At 53.1% G+C, this 26,040-nt stretch overlaps 1 protein-coding gene across 6 annotated transcripts, besides 6 other annotated features; it reads left to right on the forward strand.

The window, feature by feature from the left end:
• Positions 2,689–3,268: a transcriptional cis regulatory region, noted in NCBI's record as "intergenic|chrX:48904685-48905265 region (GRCh37/hg19 assembly coordinates) targeted for CRISPR interference". NCBI's record gives its function as "positively regulates PQBP1 gene expression in K562 cells {active_cell/tissue: K562}" and the evidence as "EXISTENCE:mutant phenotype evidence [ECO:0000015][PMID:31784727]".
• Positions 2,869–3,062: a silencer, noted in NCBI's record as "fragment chrX:48904866-48905059 (GRCh37/hg19 assembly coordinates)". NCBI's record gives its function as "represses an EF-1alpha promoter that drives an FKBP-Casp9 reporter gene in an ReSE screen in phorbol 12-myristate 13-acetate-treated (for megakaryocytic differentiation) K562 erythroleukemia cells {active_cell/tissue: K562(+PMA)}" and the evidence as "EXISTENCE:reporter gene assay evidence [ECO:0000049][PMID:32094911]".
• Positions 8,872–9,166: an enhancer, noted in NCBI's record as "tiled region #13918; HepG2 Activating DNase unmatched - State 1:Tss". NCBI's record gives its function as "activates a minimal TATA promoter and a strong SV40 promoter by Sharpr-MPRA in HepG2 cells {active_cell/tissue: HepG2}" and the evidence as "EXISTENCE:reporter gene assay evidence [ECO:0000049][PMID:27701403]".
• Positions 8,872–9,167: a biological region, named in NCBI's record as "Sharpr-MPRA regulatory region 13918".
• Positions 9,088–9,167: a silencer, noted in NCBI's record as "silent region_20832". NCBI's record gives its function as "represses an Ori minimal core promoter by ATAC-STARR-seq in GM12878 lymphoblastoid cells {active_cell/tissue: GM12878}" and the evidence as "EXISTENCE:reporter gene assay evidence [ECO:0000049][PMID:35858748]".
• CCDC120 (coiled-coil domain containing 120) lies at positions 9,104–25,390 on the forward strand. 6 transcript variants are annotated; one of them, NM_001163322.2, is given in 11 exon segments: positions 14,498–14,591; positions 17,491–17,649; positions 17,767–17,821; positions 18,000–18,133; positions 19,393–19,533; positions 19,902–20,196; positions 20,568–20,630; positions 20,986–21,160; positions 21,279–21,377; positions 22,708–23,622; positions 24,076–25,390. In NM_001163322.2, coding segments are annotated over 9 exon segments (1,950 nt in total). In that variant the 5' UTR covers positions 14,498–14,591; positions 17,491–17,649; positions 17,767–17,808; the 3' UTR covers positions 24,191–25,390.
• Positions 9,218–9,517: a silencer, noted in NCBI's record as "silent region_20833". NCBI's record gives its function as "represses an Ori minimal core promoter by ATAC-STARR-seq in GM12878 lymphoblastoid cells {active_cell/tissue: GM12878}" and the evidence as "EXISTENCE:reporter gene assay evidence [ECO:0000049][PMID:35858748]".

Below are 26,040 nucleotides of genomic sequence, written 5' to 3' on the forward strand. Positions count from 1 at the left end.
TCATATATCCTCAGGTGCAAATAGCTCACAAAACACCCAGACCTACAGCCTTCCCTTCCTCTTTCCTGACATCCCAAGACCCCACCCTGAGTTGCGCCTCCAGGAATTTCACCGGGCTTTCATTTACCTTGGACCTTCCTGTATTGGCATCATTATTTCACAGGTCTGTCAGTTGCTTTCGTAAACTCATCCATACTCACACACAACCATCTCGTACAAGGGGGAAACCTCTACATAATAAAGATGACTTCTGGCCGGGCGCGGTGGCTCATGCCTGTAATCCCAGCACTTTGGGAGGCCGAGGCGGGTGGATCACCTGAGGTCAGGAGTTTGAGACCAGCCTGGCCAACACGGTGAAACCCCGTCTCTACTAAAAATACAAAAAATTAGCCGGGCGTGGTGGCGGGCGCCTGTAATCCCAACTACTCGGGAGGCTGAGGCAGGAGAATCCCTTGAACCGGGAAGCAGAGGTTGCAGTGAACCAAGATAGTGTCACTGCACTGCAGCCTGGGTGACAGAGTGAGACTCAGTCTCAAAAAAAAAAAAAAAAGAAAAAAGAATACATTACCAATTGTACCAATCAAAACTCTAAAACGGAACTTGTAGATCCAATGTTAAAATTCCTATGATGCCTTAAACATGTAAGAATGGGCCGGGCACGGTGGCTCACACCTGTAATCCAGCAGTTTGGGAGGCCAAGGTTGGTGGGTCGCTTGAGGCCAGAAGTTCGATACCAGCCTGGCCAACATGGCAAAACCTCGTCTCTACAAAAATACAAAAATTAGCCGGGCGTGGTGGTCTGCGCCTGGCCTGTAGTCCCAGCTACTCGGGAGGCTGAGGCAGGAGAATAGCTTGAACCCGACAGGCGGAGGTTGCAGTGAGCCGAGATCACGCCACTGCACTCCAGCCTGGGGCGACAGAGTGAGACTCTGTCTCAAAAACAAAAACAATGGCCCAGTGCGGTGGCTCACGCCTGTAATCCCAGCACTTTGAGAGGCCGAGGCAGGTGGATCACTTGAGGTCAGAAGTTCAAGACCAGCCTGGCCAACGTGGCAAAACCCTGTCTCTACTAAAAATACAAAAAAATTAGCCAGGCATGGTGGCGTGCGCCTGTAATCCCAGCTACTAGGGAGGCTGAGGCACAAGAATCGCTTGAACCCGGGAGGTGGAGGTTGCAGTGAGCCAAGATCGTGCCACTGCACTCCAGCTTGGGAGACAGAGCTAGACTCCGTCTCAAAAAAAACAAAAACAAACATGTAAGAATGGCTAATTTTACAAAAGAAGAAAGAGGAGGGTCTGGCGGGGTGGTTCCCACCTGTAATCCCAACACTTTGGGAGGCCAAGGTGGGAGAATTGCTTGAGCCCGGGAGTTTGAGACTAGTCTGGGAAACATAGGGAGACCCCGTCTGTACAAAAAAACTTTTAAAAAATTAGGCCGGGCATGGTGGCTCACGCCTGTAATCCCAGCACTTTGGGAGGCTGAGGCGGGAGGATCACAAAGTCAAGGGATTGAGGCCATCCTGGCCAACATGGTGAAACCCCGTCTCTACTAAAAATACAAAAATTAGCTGGGCATGGTGGCACGCGCCTGGCCTGTAGTCCCAGCTACTTGGGAGGCCGAGGCAGGAGAATCTCTTGAACCCAGGAGGCGGAGGTTGCAGTGAGCCGAGATTGCACCACTGCACTCCAGCCTGGGGACAAAGTGAGACTCTGTCTCAGAAAAAAAGAAAAAAAAAGAAAAGAAAAGAAAAGAAAAATTAGCCAGGTATGGTGGTGCACACCTGTGGTCCCAACTACTTGGGAGGCTGAGGCAGGAGGATCGCTTGAGCCTGGAAAGTTTGAAGTTGCAGTGAGCCGTGTTTGTACCACTACCCTCCAGCCTGGACGACAGAATGAGACTCTGTATCAATTAATCAATAAATAAAACTACATACTGTCTGATGAAAGATGCTACAAAGTTAAAAGACTTACAACAGACTGGCAACAAATATTTATAGCAGTAGAGCCACAGAGTAATTATCTTGTCACACATCCCAATCCTACAAACACCAGCTTCACACACGCATCTCAAATGTCTCCATGACAAGTGATATCCCATGACACCCTGCATGATATGCCTACCCTGCATCTTTCTGGGTTTCTCTCTCTCTTTTCTTTTTCTTTTTTTTTTGAGACAGAGTCTCGCTCTTGCCCAGGCTGGAGTGCAGTGGCACGATCTCGGCTCACTGCAAGCTCCGCCTCCCGGGTTCACGCCATTCTCCTGCCTCAGCCTCCCCAGTAGCTGGGACTACAGGCACCCGCTACTATGCCCGGCTAATTTTTTTGTATGTTTAGTAGAGACGGGGTTTCACCATGTTAGCCAGGATGGTCTCGATCTCCTGACCTCGTGATCCGCCTGCCTCGGCCTCCCAAAGTGCTGGGATTACAGGCGTGAGCCACTGCACCCGGACTTCTTTTTTCTTTTTCTCTCTCTCTTTTTTTTTTTTTTTTGAGATGGAATCTCGCTCTGTCACCCAGGCTGAGGTGCAGTGGCACTATCTCGGCTCACTGCAGCCTCTGCCTCCTGGGTTCAGGCGATTCTCCTGCCTCAGCCTCCCAAGTAACTGGGATTACAGGTGCCCGCCACCGCGGCCAGCTAATTTTTTTTGTATTTTTAGTAGAGACAGGGTTTCCCCATGTTGGCCAGGCTGGTTTCAAACTCCTGACCTCAAGTGATCCGCCCGCCTCGGCCTCCCATAGCGCTGGGATTAAAGGCATGAGCCACATGCCCGGCCCTAGTTTCTATCAATATCTCATTCTCAACTTTCTCAATACTTGCACCCCTGCCATATAGTTGGAGTTCCTTTCTTTCTTTCTTTCTTTTTTTTTGGAGACAGGGTTTCGCTCTGTCATCCAGGCTGGAGTGCAGTGGTGCGATCTCGGCTCACTGCAACCTTATCTGGGGTTTCACTGCAAGACAACTTCAAGGTGCTGTGAAGGGGACATGTGGAGCGAAGTGGGAGGGCAGCTGGATGGTGAAGTTGGGGGTATTTAGGGATAGATATGAGTGGTGATTGAAGGTGGCTTGGGGGTGAGTTTGGGTTCTACAACAGGACAGTTTGCAGGCAATTGAAGGATCATTTGAAGGTCTTTGGGAGGAATGGGGCTTCAATAAGACAGTTTAAGAATGCAGGTGGGAGCTATTGGGAGGGTGGATTGGGAATACGGTTAATGGGTGGAGGATGGTTTGGGGTACAGTTGGAGGGAATATAGGAAGATGGGTTTTTAGAGATAGAGTTCGGCCTTCTGTAAGGTGGTTTAAGGAACAGATGTTAACTGTCATAAGATGTTGTGGTAGGCTGAATAATCCCCTCCACCCCTGCCAATATATTTATGTCCTATGTCCTAATCCCTGGAATTTTTTTTTAATTAATTAATTTTTTTTAGACAAAGTCTCACTCTGTCACCCAGGCTGGAGTGCAGTGGTGTGATCTTGGTTCACTGCAACCTCCGGCTCCTGGGTTCAAGCCATTCTCCTCCCTCAGACTCTCGAGTAGCTGGGACTACAGGCAGGCACCCGCCACCACGCCCGGCTAATTTTTTGTATTTTTAGGAGAGACGGGGTTTCACCGTGTTAGCCAGGATGGTCTTGATCTCCTGACCTCGTGATCTGCCCGCCTCGGCCTCCCAAAGTGCTGGTATTACAGGTGTGAGCCACCGCATCCGGCCAAGGAACTCTTTATTTTTAAAGAGTCTTGCTCTGTCACCCAGGCTGGAGTGCAGTGGTGTGATCTCAGCTCACTGCAACTTCGTCTTCCTGGTTCAAGCGAATCTCTTGCCTCAGCCTCCCAAGTAGCTGGGATTACAGGCATGCTGCACCATGCCCCATTAATTTTTGTATTTTTAGTAGTGACAGAGTTTCACCATGTTGGCCAGGCTAGCCTTGAACTCCTGACCTCAAGCAATCTGCCTGCCTCCGCCTCCCAAAGTGCTGGGATTACAGGCATGAGGCACGGCGCCTGCCCCCTCACCCATTTTTTTTGTTTGTTTTTTGAGTCAAGGTCTCACTCTGTCACCCAGGCTGGAGTGCAGTGGCATGATCACGGCTCACTGCAGCCTCCATCTCCTGGACTCAAGCAGCCCTCCCGCCTCAGCCTCCCGAGTAGCTGGGACTACAGATGTGTGACAGCATGCCTGGTTAATTCCCTGGAACCTTTGAATGCTACTTTATGTGACAAAAGGACTTTGCAGGTGTGATTAAGTTAAGGATTTTGGGATGAGGAGATTGTTCTGGATTAGCTGGTAGACCCTAACTGTAATCCTAAATGTTCTTATAAGAGGTAGGCAGAAGCAAATTCGACTGACAGAAAAGGAGGAGGCAATTTGACCACGGAGGCAGACTGTAGTGATATGACTGCCAAAAGCCAAAGAATGCCTGAAGAGGCAACAGATAGTCCTTTTTGTTTGTTTGTTTGTTTGTTTGTTTCAGATGGAATCTCGCTCTGTCACCCAGGCTGGAGTGCAATGGTGCAGTCTTGGCTCACTGCAACCTCTGCCTCCTGGGTTCAAGCGGTTCTCCTGCCTCAGCCTCCCAAGTAGCTGGGACTACAGGCGCCCGCCACCATGCCTGATTAATTTTTGTATTTTTAGTAGAGACGGGGTTTCGCCATGTTGGCCAGGCTGGTCTGGAATTCCTGACTTCAGGTGATCCACCTGCCTCGGCCTTCCAAATTGCTGGCATTACATGTGTGAGCCACCTCACCTGGCCTAAAGACAATTTTTCCATGGAGTGTGGTGGGGGATGGTTTCGGAATGAAACTGTTCCACCTCAGATGATCAGGCATTAGTTAGATTTTCATAAGGAGAATCTTGTAAGCATGTAACCTGGATCCCTTGCATGCACAGTTCACAATAGGGTTTGCTCTCCTATGAGAATCTAATGCCGCTGCTGCTGTGACAGAAGCTGGAGCTCAGGTGTTAATGCTTGCTTGCCTGCCACTCAGGCTCCTAACAGGCCACTGACTGGTACTTGTCCTTGGCCCAGGGGTTGGAGATCCCTGCCTTATAGCCTCCAGAGGGAGTGCAGCTCTGGTGACACCTTAATTTTGGCCCAGTGCAACTGATTTTAGACTTCTGGCCCTTAAAACTGTGAAAGAATACATTTCTGTTTTTTGTTTGTTTTTAAGAGAGGTAGCTATTTATTTATTTATTTATTTAGAGATGGAGTCTCGCTCTATTGCCCTGGCTGGAGTGCAGTGGCATGATCTTGGCTCACTGCAACCTCCACCTCCCAGGTTCAAGCGATGCTCCCACCTCGGCCTCCCTAGTAGCTGGGACTACACCATGCCTGGCTAATTTTTGTTAAATTTTTTTAGTAGAGACGGGATCTGGCCATGTTGTCCAGGCTGGTCTCAAACTCCTGGCCTCAAGTGATCCGCCAGCCTGGGCCTCCCAAAGTGGTGGTATTACAAGGGTGAGCCACCGCAAATTTCTGTTTTTGTTTCTTCTTCTTTTCTTTTCTTTTTTTCTTTTTTTGTTTTTTTTGAGACGGAGTCTTGCTCTGTCGCCAGGCTGGAGTGCAGTGGCGAGATCTCGGCTCACTGCAACCTCCGCCTCCCAGGTTCAAGCGATTCTCCTGCCTCAGCCCCACGAATAGCTGGGATTACAGGCATGTGCCACCATGCCCGGCTAATTTTGTATTTTTAGTAAAGACGGGGTTTCACCATGTTGGCCAGGATGGTCTCCATCTCTTGATCTCTTAATCTGCCCACCTTGGCCTCCCAAAGTGTTGGGATTACAGGTGTGGGCCATCCTGCCCGGCCCTCTTTGTTTTTTTAAGCCACCAAGTTTGCAGTAATTGGTTACAACAGCCACAGGGAAGAACTACAGATGGCTTTGGGGAAGAGTTGGGGGTCACTGGAAGGACTTAGGGCTACGTTGGGGGTTACCAAGGGCAGTTTGAGAGTATAATTAGAGGCTGTTGGAAAGCATTTGGGTGCAGTTGGAGCCATCAAAGGGAAAATTGAGGTGGGATTTGGGGGGTCATTGGAGGGTGGATGGGAGGTATAGTTGGGAGACTGTGGGGAGGTAAAGGGGAAATGTTTACAGGTAGCATTGGGTGCTATTAGAGGGCAGTTTAGGGTGTAGTTGGGAGTTCTTGGAGGGTGGTTTGGGTGGTATTGTTGGGAAAAATTGAAAGATGTTTTGTGGGTGTAGTTGCTCATAATTTAAGACAAGGTTGGGGCTGGGCGCAGTGGCTCACACCTGTAATCCTAGCACTTGGGGAGGCTGAGGCGGGCAGATCACCTGAGGTCGGGAGTTCGAGACCAGCCTGACCAACATGGAGAAACCCCGTCTTTACTAAAAATACAAAATTAGCCGGGCGTGGTGACACATGCCTGTAATCCCAGCTACTCGTGGGGCTGAGGCAGGAGAATCGCTTGAACCCAGGAGGCGAAGGTTGCAGTGAGCAGAGATCTCACCATTGCACTCCAGCCTGGGCAACAACAGCCAAACTGCATCTCCAAAAAAAAAAAAAAAAAAAAAAAAAGACAAGGTTGGGCATGGCGGTCAGTGAAGAGTGGTTTGAGGTTACAGTCTGGGTCTGCAGTTCTGGGACCAAAGGAAGGTAGTTAGTGGGTAGAGTCATGGCTGGGGCTGTTGGAAGGGGAATTTTAGGGGTGGGGTTTGGAATTGTTGGAGAGTAGTTTAGTTAGGTTTGGGTATTACTGAAAAGGCATTTTGGGGATATTCTTGGGAGTTGATAAAGGGCAGTTTGAGGATGTAGAGCAGACTGCTGGAAGGTGCTTTAGGGGTGAAGATGAGGCTCGGGAGGGAAGTTTAGTGATGATATTTGGGGATTATAGAGTGGTCTGGGGTACAGTTGAGGGCTGGTAGGTATGGTCCAGTGTGCAGTTTGGGGGTCTGTTTTGAAGTCTGGATGTCAGAGGGGTGTTTTGAGTTGTGGTTGAGGAGCTATTGGTGGGTAATTTGGAGAGAAGTTAAAGATCATTGGATAGACTACTGTTCAGCAATAAAAGGAACAAACCACTGTTACATGCTACCACACGGATGAACCTCAAAAACATCAAGCTAAATGAAAGATGTGAGACACAAAAAATCCACATATTGCATTTTTATGAAATGTCCAAGAAAGGCAAATTTATAGAGACAGAAAGTAGATTTGTGGTTGCCTATGGTTGGGAATGGGAATGGCATTCAGTCATGAGGGATTTTTTTGGGGTAATGGAAATGCTCTAAAACTGGGCTATAGCGATTGTTGCACACTTTGGTAAATATTTTTTTCTTTTTTTTTTCTTTTCTTTTTTTTTTTTTTTGAGACAGAGTCTTGCTCTGTCGCCCAGGCTGGAGTGCAGTGGCATGATCTCAGCTCACTGCAACCTCCGCCTTCCAGGTTCAAGCTATTCTCCTGCCTCAGCCCCCTGAGTAGCTGGGATTACAGGTGCCTGCCACCACGCCTGGCTAATTTTTGTATTTTTAGTAGAGATGGGGTTTCACCATGTTGGCCAGGCTGGTCCTGAACTCCTGACCTCAGGTGATCTGCCCACCTTGGCCTCTCAAAGTGCTAGGATTACAAGTGTGAGCCACTGTGCCTCACTTAGGTAAATTTACTAAAGTTGTTGCATTGCACACTTAATCGTGGATGACTTTTATGGTACATAATTATCATTATTATTTTTTGAGATGGAGTCTCACTCTGTTGCCCAGGTTAGAGTGCAGTGGCACTATCTTGGCTCACTGCAACCTCCACCTCCTGGGTTTAAGCGATTCTCCTGCCTCAGCCTCCTGAGTAGCTGGGATTACAGGTGTGAGCCATCATGCCCAGCTACTTTTTTGTATTTTTAGTAGAGACGGGGTTTCACCATGTTGGCCAGGCTGGTCTTGAACTCTTGGCCTCAAGTGATCCACTCGCCTTGGCCTCCCAAAGTGCCGGGATTACAAGTGTGAGCCACTGTTCCCGGCCTGGTACGTAAATTATATCCCGGTTAAGTTGTTTTAAGAAAAAAATCACTGAGAGTGCTTTGTAATTTAGGTCACTTAAGTATGATCCAGGGTGCAAGTAAGTCTTTGGAGGGCTTAGGGGACACATTTGGGGCCACTGGAGTATGATTTGGGAGCCCAATTGGGTAACTACAGCAGGATGGTTGGTGGCTATTCGGAGGTACAGTTGAGGACTGTTGGAGAGTGTTTGAGGTGCAGTTTGGGTCAGTGGAGTGTGGGTTAGAGGTGTAGATGGTGCTGGAGGGTGGCTTGAAATGCAGTTGAAAGACCACAGAAAGTATAGTTGGGTTATATGGCACAGTGATAGGGGCTGTTGGAAGGTAATTTTGTGGGGATACGAGGGGAGGTCAATGAAAGGTGGCTGGGTAAGAGGGGTCCATGGAACATGGTTTGGAGGTAGTGTGGGTGACTGTTGGAATTATTTTGTGGTGCAGGTGAGGCCCACGTTGAGGGTAATTAGGAATGTTTGGGCTGGTGTTGGGGGCTCCTGGAGAGCCATTTTGGGTCAATGGAGTATGGTTTGGAGGGTACATGGAGAGGAGTTTGGGGTCAATGGAGGGTGTTACGGGTGCACATTGGAAGTAGATAGCAGGTGATTTGGACATGCTGTTTGGAGGGTAATGGTTTCAGGGCTGATTGCAGATGGTTTGATGGAGCAAACTGGGGGTAGTGTAAGGTAGTTTACTGCCACAGCTTGGGTGTCCATAGAGGGTGGACTGGAGGTACCGCTTGGAATCAACAGACAGTAGTTTGGGGATATAATTTGGAGGATAATGGAGGTTGGTTTGGAGTGCATTTGAGGAACAACAGGGAGGGTAGCTGGGGTTTACAGGTGTGGGGAGAGCTTACAGAGAGCAGCTTGGGGTACTGCTTGAGGGTCCCTGGGGGACGACTTGGGGTGAGGGGCGCCAGTAGGCTCCCTGAGGGGCGTGGCTTCGGCGAGGGAGGGCTCCGCCGCCCTCGAGAAAGCGTGTGCGCACGCGCTCCCAGCTTGTTCGCTCCTGGCGCTCCCAGGGCAAGAAAAATCGAAGACCCGAGCCGGCGCTTGCGCACTTAGTCTCCGCCACTGCTGTGGTCTCGTGCCCCGCCCCCCGGTCCCCCCACCCTCTAGGCTAGGCTGAGCGGCGGAGGTGGCCGTGCCGCTGGAAGCGGACAGACCCGAGTTAGAGGTGGGGGCGGGGGTCCATCGCCCGCGGCCGGGCCGGCGCTCCCCTCCTACCCTCCCCGCGACCCCCGTCTGGCCCCCACGGCTAACGGTAGCGCAGCCGAACACGGCCCACGGGCAGGGCGCCGAAGAGGAGCAGGCGCGCGCCCGGGGACGAGCAGGGCGCAGTGAGGGAGGGGCGCGTCCACTGCCCCGGCCGGCCGACCGACACCGACCCCGCCTACTGCGGCGCGGGGACCCTTGGTGAGTAACCAGCCCCGCCTGCGGAGGAAGGGAGGGGACAGGGTGGGGTGAAGGCCCGGAAACGCCGACGGGGCGTACCTGCGCGCGCACCCGCGACCTCTGACCCCGTGGCCTCAGCCCTGACCCCTTACGACCTGACTACATCTTTTTTAAACCTCAACCCCTGCTGGCCTTGGCCTCAGGACCTTCCATCCGAGCCCTGACCTAACCATATTCTGGCCTGGTATGGTCCTCAACCCCTGTTTTGTCCCCCTAAATCCAGTCCTGACCCCAAACCCCATCCAGTTATGTCCTGGGGATCTTTGACCTGACCCTGATCCTTGCCTGACCCCGTCTCATCTCTGAAACATCTTGCCCTATCCTAATGCCCAACACTGACCCCAGTTTCTGTCCTGACGCTTGACCTGTCTGTTCCCTAAACTCTTATCCAGTCTCCAAACCTCTTCCAGTCATGTCCTGTCCCCCTAACCACAATCTGGTGTAGTTCTGTCCTGATTCCTGCCCTCTAACTTCTGTCCTTTCTCTGCACCCTATGTGATATCCTCTCCTATATACTCGTGATCTGCATCCTGGCTCACCACCTTCGTCTCCTGCCTTGTCCCTGCCCCTGACTCTGCCCCGTTTTTCCCTCTTTTCTTGTCCCATCACCATACTCATTCCTATCCTCATTGTGTCCTGGTCTTTTCCTGTTCCTGACCTCCATCCTGAACCTGCCCTTTTCCCTGTCCCCTCCTTTGACCACTGGCTTAGCCTTTCCTAGTCATGTCTTCTGACTGCTGTTCTATGTTAATCCTGACCCCTGCCCTGCTGTTTTGTCTCTTTCTTGTACTTTTTCTCTGACCCTTGTCCTGAACCCCACCTTATCCCATCCCCTGGCCAGTGTTCTGGCTCATTCCCCATCCTGCCTCTTGACCTCCATCCTGTGATAACTCTGGCTCTATCTTGTCCCCTACACTCCTTCCTGTTCTGTCCCTTCCCATCCCAGCCCCAGGGTGTTCTTCCCCTTACCATGCCCCTCCACCCTGTTCAGATCTTCTTCCTTCCTAATATCCACTTGCCATCCCTTCTGAGCCGAGGACAGGGGTCCCATTATACTGTGCCCGGAACTTGAAGATTCTGCTGTTCCCAGGACCTCCGAAGTACATCCCAAATGCTTCTCTTAGCAAGAGCAAGCAGCCCTATGTGCCCTGCGTGGCTGATGGGGGTTTTTGTGTGTGATCTCCCCTATCCCCACCCTAGTGATCTTACATAGAGCTTACATTTCTCTTCCTGCCCCAGGAGGGCATGCAACTGTTCCTACGCCCCTGCCCTCTGCAAGTGTGAAAGAATACCCTAAATTATTCAGTGACTCTCTGGGAGTCTGAGAGGTCTGGGTCATGTTTCCAGTCTTGCTGTGTTGGGGACTGCCTCATGTTGGGGGGAAGAGTTAAGAAAATATGAAGAGATGGGGGACCCAGGGGTATGTATGAATCTTCTAGGCCATGTTTGATTCTGGGTGCATGATCCCTGCTTTCCTGGACTGAAAAAGAAGAAGTCTATTCTAGGCCAAGGCTTCGGGACTTGGTATAGAGGAGGGATGGGGTCAAGGATTCATCCTCCTTCTCTCAGCAGTAAGCAATAAAAATCTTGGTGCTAAGTCCACTCCACCTCTGTGGGGCTTGTCTTGGGGGAGAAGGCCAGGCAGTCACTGGATTTAAGAATCAGGCCTATCCAGTGGTAACAGTAACAACAATAATGCAGTGTTCCCCTCATTGTCCGAATCTCCTTGATTCTGAGGATGATGGGGAGAACTTGGATAGCTAGAGGGTAATGTGTTACTCAATTGGGTTTTGTTCCTGCATTTCTCATAGAGACTAGTGAGTTTGAATAACAAGATGCCAGACCTATCTTATCCTGAAAATCTATCCAAACCTATTGATAACAAAACAAGCATTCCTCACTTTCCCAATCTATTTGGTACCTGAATTCTGAGAGGGAGAGTGCCCGAAGTTCAGACAGTGAAACCTACCAAGTTATTTGAAGGTATTTTGTTTTCACATCTTACATAGTGAGTAGGGAAAATTGAGATAATGAAGAATAATGACTAACTAAAAAATGTATCCAAATCTATGAACTTTCCTGAGCTCCAGGGACAAGAGTTGGGATAGTGAGGGTACCCTGTTATGTAAATGGTTCCTGCATTTTGTTTGGAGGGTAAGGAAAGTTCAAGAATGAGGGATACCAGTCGTATCTCAAAAATGTTTCTGAATCCATTCAGTTCTTGCATTTGGATGGTGAGAGTTCAGACAATTTCTCTGAATGTATTTGGTTCCTGCATTTTTGATGTTGAGAAAGGAGAGGTTGGATCATGAGGGAAACAGCTCTGTTTCAAATATGTCTCATTTGGTGAGCAGGGAGGGTACCGTGTCTAGATAGCAAGTGGGATTTGGAAGCTGAGGGATACCAGTTCTGTCTCAAAAATGCATCTGAGGCCGGGCGCGGTGGCTCACGCCTGTAATCCCAGCACTTTGGGAGGCTGAGGCGGGTGGATCACGAGGTCAGGAGTTCGAGCCCACCCTGGCCAAGATGGTGAAACCCCGTCTCTACTAAAAATACAAAAATTAGCTGGGTGTGGTGGCACGCACCTGTAATCCCAGCTACTCGGGAGGCTGAAGCAGGGAACTGCTTGAACCCGGGTGGTGGAGGTTGCAGTGAGCCGAGATCATGCCACTGCACTCCAGCCTGGGTGACAGGGTGAGACTCCGTCTCAAAAAAAAAAAAAAAAAAAAAAAATTGCGTCTGAATACATTTAGTCTCTGATTTTGGATAGCAAGAGTTCAGACAAGTTATCTGAGGAAAAACAACTGTTTCAAATGTATCAAGTGAGACTGAAGGACACCAGCTCTGTCTGGAAAAAATGTGTCTGAATGTATCTACTTGATTCCTGACTTCCTGTGGGGAAGAATACTTGTAACTGTGACAGCCAACATACACTGAGCTCTTACCAGGCACTGTTCTGCACAAGCTTTAAATGTATTAACTGATTTAATGCTCACAATAGCCCCGTGAGGTACATACTGTTATCATCGTCCCCAATTGACAGAGAGGCACAGAGAGGTTAAGTGACTTGTTCAAGCAGTCACACAGCTAGTAAGTGGCAGAGCTGGGTTGAATCCCAGACTCACCATTTACTAGTGACAGCAGGGTCACGTGAGGCCCAGGGCCCAGCTGGGGTAGGGCTTAGAGGTTGGGTCCTCTTCGAGGCTATTAAAAGTCATGGACCAGGGCAATGATGTGTGTTAGTGACTGCCCCATTTGTCTGCCTGGCCCAGGAGGTCCAGTTACCTGCTCTCCCCCAGTTACCCCCACAACAGCCCACCTCTGTGTGAGTGTATTAATTGTTGTTAGTAAGAGTCATTAATGACATGGTGTGTTTCCTTGCACTTTGAAATGCCTTTCAAAGTTATTTGGGGCCTCCATTGTCTCTGTAACCACCTTTTACCCATTTTACAGATGAGGAGACCTAAGCTTTGAGACTCAATCTACATTGCCAGCCAGATTCTCATCCCTCTTGGCTCTGATTTTATTACTGTCTCACTTCCCAACATCTTTGGTGGCCCATAAGAGGTGGGAGAGGCTGTGGCCGAGAGGACACTCCCCAATGCCCACCTTACCACTGCCCGCCCCAGGCAGTGAAGTGGGGAGGGCGATGAAAGGGGCCTTTGTGTTCCATGCTGGAAATCTCACACCCAGGAAGAAAGGTGGGCAGGGATGGCGGGAGGCCTTAATAGTATGAGTCTGGGGCATTGCTGATTCAGAGTGAGCTCCTCTCTAGGCTCAGCCCATCTGCAGCTTTTCTCACTTCAGGTCATGGTGTGGGCTGCTGCAGGGGTCTGGGTAGGGCTTGGGCCCTGGGTCACAGAGCAGATGGTCCTGAATGGAGCACAGGATGTGTGCTGTGTGCCGGGACTGGCCCAGAGCTCAGGTGGTAGTGGTGATGGTGGTGGTGGTGATGGTGGTGGTGGTGGGCGGGGTGAGGGGAGGCAGGGACAGTACGTCGTAAGGACTCAAAGCTCTCATTTCCTTCTCTGGCATGAAGCCTGACTCTCTGAAGAAGAGAGACCCAGCATGGATGTGAAGAAGCATGAGCCCCCTTCCCTACTTCTCCTTCCCACTTGCAGGAGTAGCCTCTGTCTGCCTCCCAGCCAGGACCCAGCCCCCGGAAATTCTGATTTCACCTGCTCTTCTGCCACTGTGATCTGAATCAGGCCTCTTCACCTTTCCAGGCCTCAGCTTCTGCATCTATAAAATGGCTGTGAGGAGGCTGGGTCTGTGCCATCCTGCTACATTTGTAGGAACCAAGAGGGATCAAAACCCATAAGTGTTTTGTAGGGTGTAAGTTGTGCTTGATTTATTGAGATTATTTCTTCTGGAGCCACAGAAGGATCTTGAGACCTGACCTCTCCTTAGAAAGGTTGACTTCCTCTGTCCCCAACTTGGGAAACTATTATTCCCCAGTGAGGGTGGGAATTGCCCCAAGGCCTTCTACCACTGCCTTGCCCTGGGAGGAAAGGGTAGGGGCCTCAGAATGTGATGCTTAGTGCCAAGACACAAAAACTCAGTTTACACCCGAAGCCTCCCATGTACTTTACAGCTCCCCACACCTCTATGGCCCAGATCCAAGTTGCCCCTTGGGTGGGCAGCGTCTAATCCTCTGGGAATTTGGGCAGTAGGAGAGGCAGCTGCTACTCCCACCACTCTCAGCCCTTCTTCCCAGTTTTCTGCTAAGTGTACGGGGTGAGGAGGCACAGGCCTCCATGCCTGGCCAGTTTTAAAAAAAATTTTTGTAGAGATGGGGGTCTCATTATGTTGCACAGTCTGGCCTTGAACTCTTGGCTTCAAGCAATCCTCCCACCTCAGCCTCCCAAAGTGCTGAGATTACAGGCACCAGCTACCCTGCCTGGCCCAGGCTGTCTTCTTAGACATGCTGAGCACCCTGAGTGGACCTGGCCCTGAAACTGCCCCCAGGGGTGACCCTAGTCCTGGTGGCAGACAGGCAAGGGTTAAAAGGTGTGGGCCGGCCCAGTTCCTGGCCAGGTAGGCTGGGCCATTACCTAGTGGGAGGTGGCCAAGGCATCTGCCACTGCTGCTGACTGCCACTACCAGCCGGAGCCAGGGCCTGGTCGAGACAACTATTTTTGAGGTATCTGAGGCTACCCCACAGCACTCTCTGGCATTGGTGAGCACCTGGGAGCAGTGGGCCCAGGGTGCGAGGGGGATAAGGGCATTGGGGAGCTGGGGCAGGGTGTACTGAAGTTCCCTTCGGTAGAGAGCTAGGTCTGTGGGAGAGGCACACCAACAATGCAGGGCAGGGTGGTGGTGGGGGGGTAGGGGGGCAGTGAGAATGGAGGGCCTGAGGACAGGGGCAAAGCCCAAAACACCAATTTCCTTTCCTGGCACCAAGCCGATTCCCGGCCGGAAATGGACGAGGAGGGATCGGGGAAAAGAGAAGTATGAGTCCCCCCTTCTCCACCCTATCCCTGCTTCCTTTCCTCCCCGCCAGGAGTAGCCTCTGTCCTCCCCCAACCCAGGGCCCAGCTCTCCAAGAAAGACCAGACTGGGCTACTAAGAAACCATTACTCAGGCACCTGCCTGCCTATGCCTGATTTGTTCACTGCAGTGGAGGAAGCAGGGGCTCTGGGGAGGGTAATGGCCCAGACATTGAGATTTTGTATTTGCTCTAATAGTGGCAGGATGTGGAAATGACCCCCCAACTGTTGGGGTGCCACCCAGGTGAGGTATCTTGGTTGTAAACAGTTATTACAGCCAGGAATTTCTTTCTCGGCTGTGGTGTCAGAATGGCAGACCTGAAAAACCTGCCGGGCCCGCCTCTGGGTGTGGGGGGTGCCCTCTACTGCTCTCCCGCTGCAGCTGGTCCCTGGGACAGGATGGGGGCCATGGGGTCACTGGTAGGGGGAGACCTGGGGTTGGTGTGGGGGTGTGCTGGGGAGGGGTTTGCTGGGATCCCTTTCTCGCCATCTGGGCGGGGATGAGGCAGCTCCAGGCCCCAAGGCAAGTATGCAGAGGGCAGGTGAGCGGAGGCAGAAGCTTAGGAACTGGGTGTGGGGGTGTGGGGCGTTGACTGTGTCTAGCCTGCCCAGTGACCCCATGACTCATACTCTAACTATGTCCCCCCGAGGTCGGGCTGATAGGGAGGAGTTGGGGTTCCTGTGTGGACCCTGTCTGGACTTCCAGGACGCTCTGAGAAATTAGAGAAGAAAGGATTGGCTGGGTGCAGTGCCTCACGCATGTAATCCCAGCACTTTGGGAGGCCGAGGCGGGTGGATCACCTGAGGTCAGGAGTTCGAGACCAGCCTGGCCAACATGGTGAAACCCAATTTCTACTAAAAATACAAAAGTAGCCAGGCATGGTGGCGTGCACCTGTAATCCCAGCTACTTTGGAGGCTGAAGTGGGAGAATTGCTTGAACCTGGGAAGTGGAGGCTGCAGTGAGCCAAGATCGTGCCACCACTGCATTCCAGCCTAAGTGACAGAGCCAGGCCCTATCTCCAAAAAAAAAAAAAAAAAAAAAAAAAAAAGAATCGAAGCAGCCCAGCATGGAATTGGGATTGGATTGGGACCAATGCTGGCAAGGGGGACCGTGGATGGAGTTGGGTTCCTGTGGGGGTAAAGGAAGGTTCCAGGGAACCCTGTGAGAGTTCCTTGGGCCTAAATGGGGGCTGGGAAAGTTGGAGCCCCAGTGATCTGGGATGTGGAGGAACCCCTGCCATGCTGGGAAGTGTCAGACCTTAGATGAGTGGGGATGTGGGGCCTGGGTTTGTCAAAAGGCTTTAGGGACTGATCCCCACCCCTGCTGTTGAAGGCAGGGCACCACTGCTTCAAGAGAGGGGTACAGGCCCTATGGGGCAGGCAGGAGGACTGCAGAGAAACATGACACCTTACAAGCAGCTTGGCCTCACCCCACAATACACAGATGGGGAAGGGGCTTGAACCCATGCCTCCTTGGTTGGCTGGGTCTTCCTCACACCAGGCTAACATGTCATGACAAGCTGCCGACTTCAAGGTAGGTGATAATGGAGCTCTGTGGCCCCATAAAGCCCTCCCAGTCACCTGCCACCTAGGTTAGGCCAGGTGGTGGGAGGTGATGTCACTCAGCTGCCCAGCTGGGGACTGAGCATGATGTGGAAGGAAGGGAGCAAACTCCAGAGGAGGGGTGGCCAGCCAAGGCAGGTTCCATGGTCAGCTGAGCCATCGGGGGCAGAGAAGGAGGCAGGAGGCAGGTGGTTCGTTATTTGCAGCTGTGGACTTTGCTTCTCACAAATCCCAGCAGGAGGACTTCCCTACACTAGGCTCAGGACAGGCTGTCATGGCAAGAGGGGCTGGAGGGACCCTGGGTCAAGTGAACATTCTCCTTGCTACACTAGAGCTACAGAATGGAGTTGGGACAAGCACAGACCCACAGATCTGAGCTTGAACCCTGGCTCCACCGCCTCCTCATTTACTTACTCTATCTTTTATTCATTCAGCTGGCACCCATTCATTGAGCACTTGTGTGTACAGCCATGTTCAGGGTGCTGGTGATGCTGCTGAAAATGGGACAGATAATGTTTCCTGTCCTCGTCGATGTTCCAGGAGGCACAATCTCTTGTTGGACAACCGTTTGTGAGAGGATATAACTGTGGAAGTGATAATTAAGTTCTAGAATGATAAGTGTGATGCAGGGGCTGGGGTGGTGAGAGGTTGAAGAAAGCACTTCAGGCAGCATCCACAGCCTGGGCAAAGGCCCTGAGGCCTGAGGGACCAGGGAGCTTATGAGGAAGTTGGTGGAGTTAGAGCGGTTCTCATGAGCGAGAGTGTAGGACCAGAGGGGTGGGCCTGGTTTATGTCTGTGGCTATGGGCCAGTTATTTCACCTCTGTGCCTTCCTTTCCTCATCTCTAAAATGGGGATACGAATCTTTCCGGGTGGCTCTGAAGATTGAGTGTGGCATCATAGGTAACTGTTGCAGGCACCCAGGTGTTGACTGCGTGTCCATTGTTGTTATAGTTGGTTGAATCTGTCCCATTAATTCTCCTTCCCCAGGCAAGACTCGTGGCTGTGACCCATGGGCCTCTGAGGAGGCGTTGTAAGTCCGCCCAGCTCCCCACTTGCTGTGCTCTCACTCAATGCGAAGGGAACCAAGGTACCAGGGCCAAGTGGGTCCAGACATCCACACGGATTCTGAAAGGGCAGGTCAAGCAGGCACGTGGGGCCCAGGTTACCCCTTATTCCCCGCTGTGGCATGGGAAGCTGGGAAGGGCTGGGGGTTGGGGTATCATGGGATGTGCTTCCTTAACGGCTCCTTTGTGTCACTGCCAGACTTTGTCCAGCCATCAGCCACGGCCTCTCGACAGCACCAAGATGGAAGTCAAAGGTCAGCTGATCAGCTCTCCTACCTTCAATGCCCCAGGTCGGTGGCTGCTTCCCCTCCTGCTGCCTCCTCCCCTGCTCTGAATCACCACCTGCTTGCTCGGGAAGAGTTGGTCCCTTGCCCCACAGCTGCTCCAGAATGCCCTGGCTGTCCCACTGATCTTTGCTCCCTCTGTGTCCAGCTGCCCTGTTCGGAGAGGCTGCCCCCCAGGTGAAGTCAGAGCGTCTGCGGGGGCTGCTTGACCGGCAGCGGACCCTGCAGGAGGCCCTGAGCCTGAAACTTCAGGAGCTCCGCAAAGTGTGTCTCCAGGAGGCGGTGAGGGCCTGGCCCTAGGGGTATCAGGCGGGGAGGTTGGGAGGAGGTGAGGAGCTGGGGCCCCTAGGTAGACAGACTTGGGTGGCAATTCCTCAACCACTTGTCTTGGCTGTAGATTCCCTGTCACCTACTTTCTCCTCAAAGCTCAGCTTAGATGTGTTAGAATGAATGAAATAGGCTGGGCGCTGTGGCTCACGCCTGTAATCCCAGCACTTTGGGAGGCCGAGGCAGGTGGATCACCTGAGGTCGGGAGTTCCAGACCAGCCTGACCAACATGGAGAAATCCCGTCTCTACTAAAAATGCAAAATTAGGCTGGGCGCGGTGGCTCACGCCTGTAATCCCAGCACTTTGGGAGGCCGAGGTGGGCGGAACACGATGTCAGGAGATCGAGACCATCCTGGCTAACACGGTGTAACCCCGTCTCTACTAAAAATACAAAAAATTAGTCAGGCGTGGTGGCGGGCACCTATAGTTCCAGCTACTCGGGAGGCTGAGGCAGGAGAATGGCATGAACCCGGGAGGCGGAGCTTGCAGTGAGCCCAGATTGCGCCACTGCACTCCAGCCTGGGCGACAGAGCAAGACTCTGTCTCAAAAAAAAAAAAAAAAAGCAAAATTAGCTGGGTGTGGTGATCCTAGCAACTTGGGAGGCTGAGGCAGGAGAATCGCTTAAACCCTGGAGGTGGAGGTTGCGGTGAGCTGAGATTGCGCCATTGCACTCCAGCCTGGGCAACAAGAGCAAAACTCCACCTCAAAAAAAAAAAATATGGTAATACAGGCCCACTGTTGACAATTTCAAATCCAACAAACCTCAGAAAACAGGTTCTGTCCAAAATTTGGCAGCACAGTCTGACCTGAACTGGCACAGGCTGATCTGTAGTTTCAGTTTACCCCTCTTACTGTGAATGCCCACAGTGTGCCGGAAATAATACTACAGCTCAGACCACGCAGCCACAGCCCCTGAAGTGAGTTATATAATACTTAGGATCTCGATGGTATCACCTTTATAAAAACAAAACAATTCTGGATTCCAAAGCAGGTCTCCCTGCCTCCCATGCCCACCACCCCAGGGGTTTGGGCCACTGAGGTTTGGGCACACCTGCCTAGTGGAGATACTGGTAGGAGGGAGGGGAGTATCGTGCGTGGTTGCTGAGCAGGGCCAGGCTCCTGGTAGGACTTCTGTAGCTTCTGGGATCATTAATGCTTCACCCCATCCTTCCAACTAACCCTTGGTAGTCTCTGACCCCTGCCTCCCACCAGGAGCTGACTGGCCAGCTGCCCCCTGAGTGCCCACTAGAGCCTGGTGAACGGCCCCAGTTGGTCCGCCGGCGGCCCCCCACAGCCCGCGCCTACCCTCCACCGCACCCCAACCAAGCACACCACTCCTTGTGCCCTGCTGAGGTGAGCAGATGGGTGTGGAGAGCAAGAGGGTGGGAAGAGGGGACAGGTACAGAGGAGTAGCCAGGAGGAAGGTGTGGGGAGGGGGCTTGTGGCCAGGTGAGGGAGAGGCTAAGATGAGAAGGAAAAGGGCTTCTGGAGTTAGTTTCCTGTGATGAGGGAGGATGCTGGTCCCTAACTGTCAGGACAGGCCTCCAACCCTAAGGAAGATGAACAGACCCAGCCCTTCACCAAGAGAGGCCCTGACACGCCCCCTCCCCGGGGTGAATAGGTCTGAATAGGCTGCAGGAAGTGCAGGCCAGCCTCTACTGGGTTTGGCCCCGCCAGGTCCCTGTTCCTGGCCATTTCCAACATTTGGGTGGGCCCAACAGGAGCTGGCTCTTGAGGCCCTGGAACGCGAGGTGTCAGTGCAACAGCAGATCGCGGCGGCCGCCCGCCGCCTGGCCTTGGCCCCTGATCTGAGCACCGAGCAGCGCCGGCGCCGGCGCCAGGTCCAGGCAGATGCACTGAGGAGGCTGCATGAGCTAGAGGAGCAGCTCAGGGATGTCCGGGCCCGCCTTGGCCTCCCAGTGCTCCCGCTGCCCCAGCCACTGCCACTGTCCACGGGGTCAGTGATCACCACCCAGGGAGTCTGCCTGGGCATGCGTCTTGCTCAGCTCAGCCAAGGTGAGCATCCCCTGGTGAGGGTGGGAGAGTGGACACTGGCAAATGGACGTGGTAGGGCTGGGATGGGTGACTGGCCGGTGAAAACCGGGAGGTAGGCACAACTCAAGTGGCCCAACCCGTGAGAAGAGTTGTGACAAACTGGCTTACCGGAAAGGACAAACTGTGGGGGACTGATGAATATCTGCCAGGACAGTCAGGAACCAAACTGGGGTGGTCTTGGGCTCTGGTAAAAGCAGATTCTTGGGACAGGAACAGGATGAGGCGGAAACTGGCCAGAAGGTGGCCCAAGTAGAGGTGCCCACCCAGTGGTGTAAGGGGGCAGCACCCAGGCCTGGGAGTGAGAGGCCCACTTCTCCCCCTCTCACCTGTAGAGGACGTAGTTCTGCACTCAGAGAGCAGCTCCCTCTCAGAGTCTGGGGCCAGCCATGACAACGGTGAGGACTCCTATCCCCCAAACCTGCCCCCGACTCCTACGTCCCTTTAGCCCATCCCCTTTATTCATCCGACCACATCCTGCATGATCAGCCCATCCTTTGATGCCCAGCCCCTCCTGTGCTGCTTCAGCTTCTCCTTAGCCATGCTCCATCTTCCTATGGGTCCCCCATCTTCTTAGCCTCACCCCACCCCAGCCCCACAGCCCCAGAACCTACTTGTCAGCCTTAGTTCCTCCTCAGCCTGCTTAACCTGTCCCAGCACTTTGCCCCTCCCCATGGCCTTGCCCCCCAGCCTGTCCTGCCCCCTCTGGGCCCCCCTCATTGAATTCTATCCCACTTGCTCTCTTCCACTCAGAGGAGCCCCATGGCTGCTTCTCTCTGGCCGAGCGCCCCTCACCACCCAAGGCTTGGGACCAGCTGCGGGCAGTATCTGGGGGGAGCCCTGAGCGGCGAACCCCATGGAAACCACCTCCATCAGATCTTTATGGGGATCTGAAGAGCCGGCGGAACTCTGTGGCCAGCCCCACCAGGTGAGAATGAGCCCCTCCTCCCCTCCGCAGGAGCTGGGAATGGGATAGCAAGCCTGGGCTGGCAGAGGGTCTGCTGGTGGGTACAGTCTCTAACCTAGGCCTGCCTGTCTCTGTCTAGCCCCACACGCTCGCTGCCCAGGAGTGCCTCCAGTTTTGAGGGGCGAAGTGTGCCTGCCACCCCTGTCCTCACCCGGGGCGCTGGCCCCCAGCTCTGCAAGTAAGGGGAATCTGAGGGTGGGCTGGAGGATCAGAGGGGAGGGAACCATTAGTTCTCACTGGAAGCTTGAGGACAACATTATCAAAAGGTGGGATGGCTGGGCGCGGTGGCTCACGCTTGTAATCCCAGCACTTTCGGAGGCCGAGGCGGGCGGGTTACTTGAGGTCAGGGGTTCAAGACCAGCCTGACCAACATGGTGAAACCCTGTCTCTACTAAAAATACAAAAATTAGCTGGGCATGGTGGGGCATGCCTGTAATCCCAGCTACTTCGGAGGCTGAGGCAGGAGAATCGCTTGAACCCGGGAGGCGGAGGTTGCAGTGAGCTGAGATCAACATCGTGCCATTGCACTCCAGCCTGGGCGACAAGAGCGAAACTCCGTCTCAAAACAAACAAAAAAACAAAAGGTGTGGGACATGGGAGGCTGGGCATTAAAGGTGAGCAGGCATCTCGGTGGATAATGGGGTAGGAGTCAGTCTCCTCATTTGTGAAATGGAAATAATAATATCTGCCTTTGAAAGACATGGACATAATAAGTTCTGGTTAACATATACTGAGTGCCTGCCATCTGCTAGGAATTAGTGTTTTACGTGGCATCAACTCATTTAATCATAATCAGATCCCTGTGAGGTGGGTGCTATTGTTATTCCCATTTTATAGATGAGGCAAGTGAGGCACAGAAAGGTTAAGTAACTTGTTAGTAAACTGAAGTCCTGGAGTTTGAGCCCAGGCAAGTTTTACTCTAGAGTCCATGCTTTTAACCACTGTCCTCTTCTGCTTCTTAAACAGAGTGCCTACTTTCCCCAGGCTCTGAACAAAACCAAGTCCCCTTCCTTGTGGGGCTTGCATTCTGTGAACGGTGGCTGTTGGGATGGTAGCTTTGGGTGGTTCATACGTATGGTCGGATAGAGAATTCAGGCAGGGTTTTACATGTGAGCCCTAAGGCCTAGGACTTAATCCTGGAGGCCGTGCGAGCCATGAGAACGGCCTTAGCAGGGGGAGGGGTCAGCTGGATTAGGAACAGCCCCCTGCCCGGCATCTACTCTGCTAGCCTTTCCTCTGAGTCCCTACACAGATTTACACCTCCCTTGGAGCTAACAGTGCCAGGCCTCCCCCACGCATTTCTACCCCTGACCGCCTAGCCTAGGATAGAACCTCAGCTGCCCTTTACATGTCACTACCTGCCACCTTTATACACACAGCTTCCAACCTTGGGCCCATTTGGAGATGTGAAAGTGAAGGCTTAGAAAGGGCTGGGGTAGGGAGGGCACTGCACGCCTTCTGCCTGATTTTTCTGACCCTATTCCCATGACCCTCGCCTCTCACCCCAGACCTGAAGGCCTTCATTCTCGTCAGTGGTCCGGCAGCCAGGACTCCCAGATGGGCTTCCCCCGGGCGGACCCTGCCTCCGATCGCGCCTCCCTCTTCGTAGCTCGCACCCGCCGCAGCAACAGTTCTGAGGCCCTGCTGGTGGACCGGGCCGCTGGTGGGGGAGCTGGCTCCCCGCCTGCCCCTCTGGCTCCCTCTGCCTCTGGCCCCCCAGTCTGCAAGAGCAGTGAGGTGCTGTATGAGCGCCCCCAACCAACCCCTGCCTTCTCCTCCCGCACAGCAGGCCCCCCAGACCCTCCCCGGGCCGCCCGGCCTAGCTCAGCTGCCCCTGCCTCCCGAGGTGCCCCCCGGCTCCCACCTGTGTGTGGAGACTTCCTCTTGGACTATTCCTTGGACCGGGGCCTGCCCCGCAGTGGCGGTGGAACAGGCTGGGGGGAGCTGCCGCCTGCAGCTGAGGTCCCAGGACCCCTCTCCCGCCGGGATGGGCTCCTCACCATGCTCCCCGGCCCACCACCTGTGTATGCAGCTGACAGCAACAGCCCCCTCCTCCGCACCAAGGACCCCCACACCCGTGCCACCCGCACTAAGCCCTGTGGCCTGCCCCCAGAGGCTGCCGAAGGCCCTGAGGTGCATCCAAACCCTCTGCTGTGGATGCCCCCACCCACCCGTATCCCCTCGGCTGGTGAACGCAGTGGCCACAAGAACCTGGCTCTGGAGGGGCTGCGGGACTGGTACATCCGGAACTCGGGACTGGCTGCGGGGCCCCAGCGCCGGCCTGTGCTCCCTTCCGTGGGCCCGCCACACCCACCCTTCCTCCATGCCCGCTGCTATGAGGTGGGCCAGGCGCTGTACGGGGCCCCCAGCCAGGCGCCACTCCCACACTCGAGGAGTTTCACGGCGCCCCCTGTCTCTGGCAGGTATGGGGGGTGCTTTTACTGATGGGTAGGGGTCTCGTAAGGCAGATGGCGAAGATATCCAGGCCAGGGAGTGGCTAGTCATGATAGCTAATGAATTGGACCATGAGGAAACTAGCTGCTGTGATGGCACAGGGTCACTCTACTGCACATGACCTGCATTAGTCCATGGGGTCCTGGTGGAGGGGATCTTGGGCACTGGTAGCAGCAATTCTTTATCAAGTTATAGGCTGAAGATGAGCCTTGAAGCCAGGGTGCCGGGAGGAAGGGACATCTCATGCCCCTTGCTGTTTTCTTCCTTTTTTCTCCATGCCCCAGAGCCTGAAAGTGCTGTCCTGTGCCTGCCTCCACCTCTTTAACGAGCCTCTTTTCCTTTCTTTTTCTGTGTCTTGTCTGTCTTTTCTTCTTCTTGTCTTCCCCGCCCTGTCCTCCGGATTCCTGCTACCCCTTCTAAAGATACTACGCGGACTTCCTGTATCCCCCGGAGCTGAGCGCTCGTTTAAGTGACCTGACGCTAGAGGGGGAGCAGTCCTCCAGTTCTGACACCCAGACCCCGGGGACACTGGTCTGACCCCTTCTGATATGTCCCTTGTTGGCCTGGGCACGATTCCAATCTGGGGAGCACACAGCTGACCTCGCTGGGCCCTGGGGTGTGGTTGCTCTCAGTCCTGAGCAGAGTGCGCCAACCTAATCTTCCAAGGCCCCTGGCTCCCCGTAGGCCCAGGAAGGTGTCTGACACCCTGCTTCTTCTCTCACACTGTGCTGGGGACTGGGGGCCCTCAGCTAGCTTAAAAGAGGGGGGATGATGTCATGGGGACCCCAAGCCCCTTCCTCCATTTATGTTTACAGTTGTGACTTAGGTATTCACTGTCTTCCTCCAACACTAGGCGTTTTACAAAAGGGAAACTGTGATCTCATCTGGTTGGGTTCATTCCTGTTCCCATGCCCAACCAGGTTCCATTCAGGAACCCCCTCCATAAAATGGACCATATCGGGTCTCAGGGCCATTTAGGGCAGCCAGGAGACTCCGGTGTGAACAGAAATCCCTGCCACGCATCGCCAGGGCAGTTGGGGCAGTGGGCTCTCTGCCCACACTTGGAAGGACTGCAGTCTGGGTGGGATGCCTGAAAGAGCCCAACCCCCTCTGTGCCCATGGCCTCTGCCCTGACCACCCCCAGTCAGGAGGCCCCACAGGAGGGGCACCCGGTAGATGCCAGTGAAATCCTCAGGTGAGGTCTGCCTACGGGCCACGGGCCACTCACCACTCACACCTTCCTTGGCTTTCCTTCCACCCTTTTTTTTTTCTCGAGACGGAGTCTTGCTCTGTCACCAGGCTGGAGTGCAGCGGCGCAATCTCAGCTCACTGCAACCTCTGCCTCCTGGGTTCTCCTGCCTCACCCTCCCGAGTAGCTGGGATTACAGGCACACGCCACCATGCCCGGCTAATTTTTGTATTCTTAGTAGAGACAAGGTTTCACCATATTGGCCAGGCTGGTCTTGAACTCTTGACCTCGTGATCTGCCCGCCTTGGCCTCCCAAAGTGCTGGGATTACAGCCGTGAGCCACTGCACCCAGCCCCAATCCACCACTTTTTAAGCAAACCCACACAAGTTGTGTTTTCTATGATACCTGTCTGTGATTTTCGGAGCTGGGGGTTCCCCTACCCCCTTTTCCTGGCGTTAAGCTTTTCTTTTTATACCAGTGGATCTGGACCCAAGACATTACCCACACTGGAAGGGGATTTGTATAATAAATGTGTAAACTGAACCCATGTGTTGCTGCTCTGTCTGCCTCACCTTGAGGACCCACACCTCTAGTCAAGACCAGATAATATATTTTTGCAGGAAAAAACATACCTTGGGAATAGCCTGTGATAGTGTCATCTGTTTTGACTTTACTTGCTTTGTGATGTGGGGCAACTTCTTTGCCTGTCTGCACTCAAATTTCTAGCCAACCTCAAACAATAACTCTTGGTAATATAAATGGTGATAACAAAGACTCTGTCCTTAACCTCCCTATACATTTTTTAAAAATTTTTATTTTTTTGAGACAATGTCTCACTCTGTTGCCCAGGCTGAAATGTAGTGGCGCGATAACGGCTCACTGCAGCCTTGACCTCCTGGACTCACAATCTTCCCACCTCAGCCGCCTGAATAGCTGAAACTACAGTTGTGCACCACCATACCCGCTAATTAAAAAAGAAAAAAAAATTGTAGGCCGGGTACGCAGTGGCTCACGCCTGTAATCCTAGCACTTTGGGAGGCCAAGGTGGGCAGCTCACGAGGTCAGGAGATCAAGACCATCCTGGCTAACAGTAAAGCCCCGTCTCTACTAAAAATACAAAAAAAATTAGCCGGGCGTAGTGGCACGTGCCTGTAATCCCAGCTACTCGGGAGGTTGAGGCAGGAGAATCGCTTGAAC

The sequence above is a fragment of the Homo sapiens genome, chromosome X, assembly GCF_000001405.40.
Source record: "Homo sapiens chromosome X, GRCh38.p14 Primary Assembly".
Taxonomy (NCBI): Eukaryota; Metazoa; Chordata; class Mammalia; order Primates; family Hominidae; genus Homo; species Homo sapiens.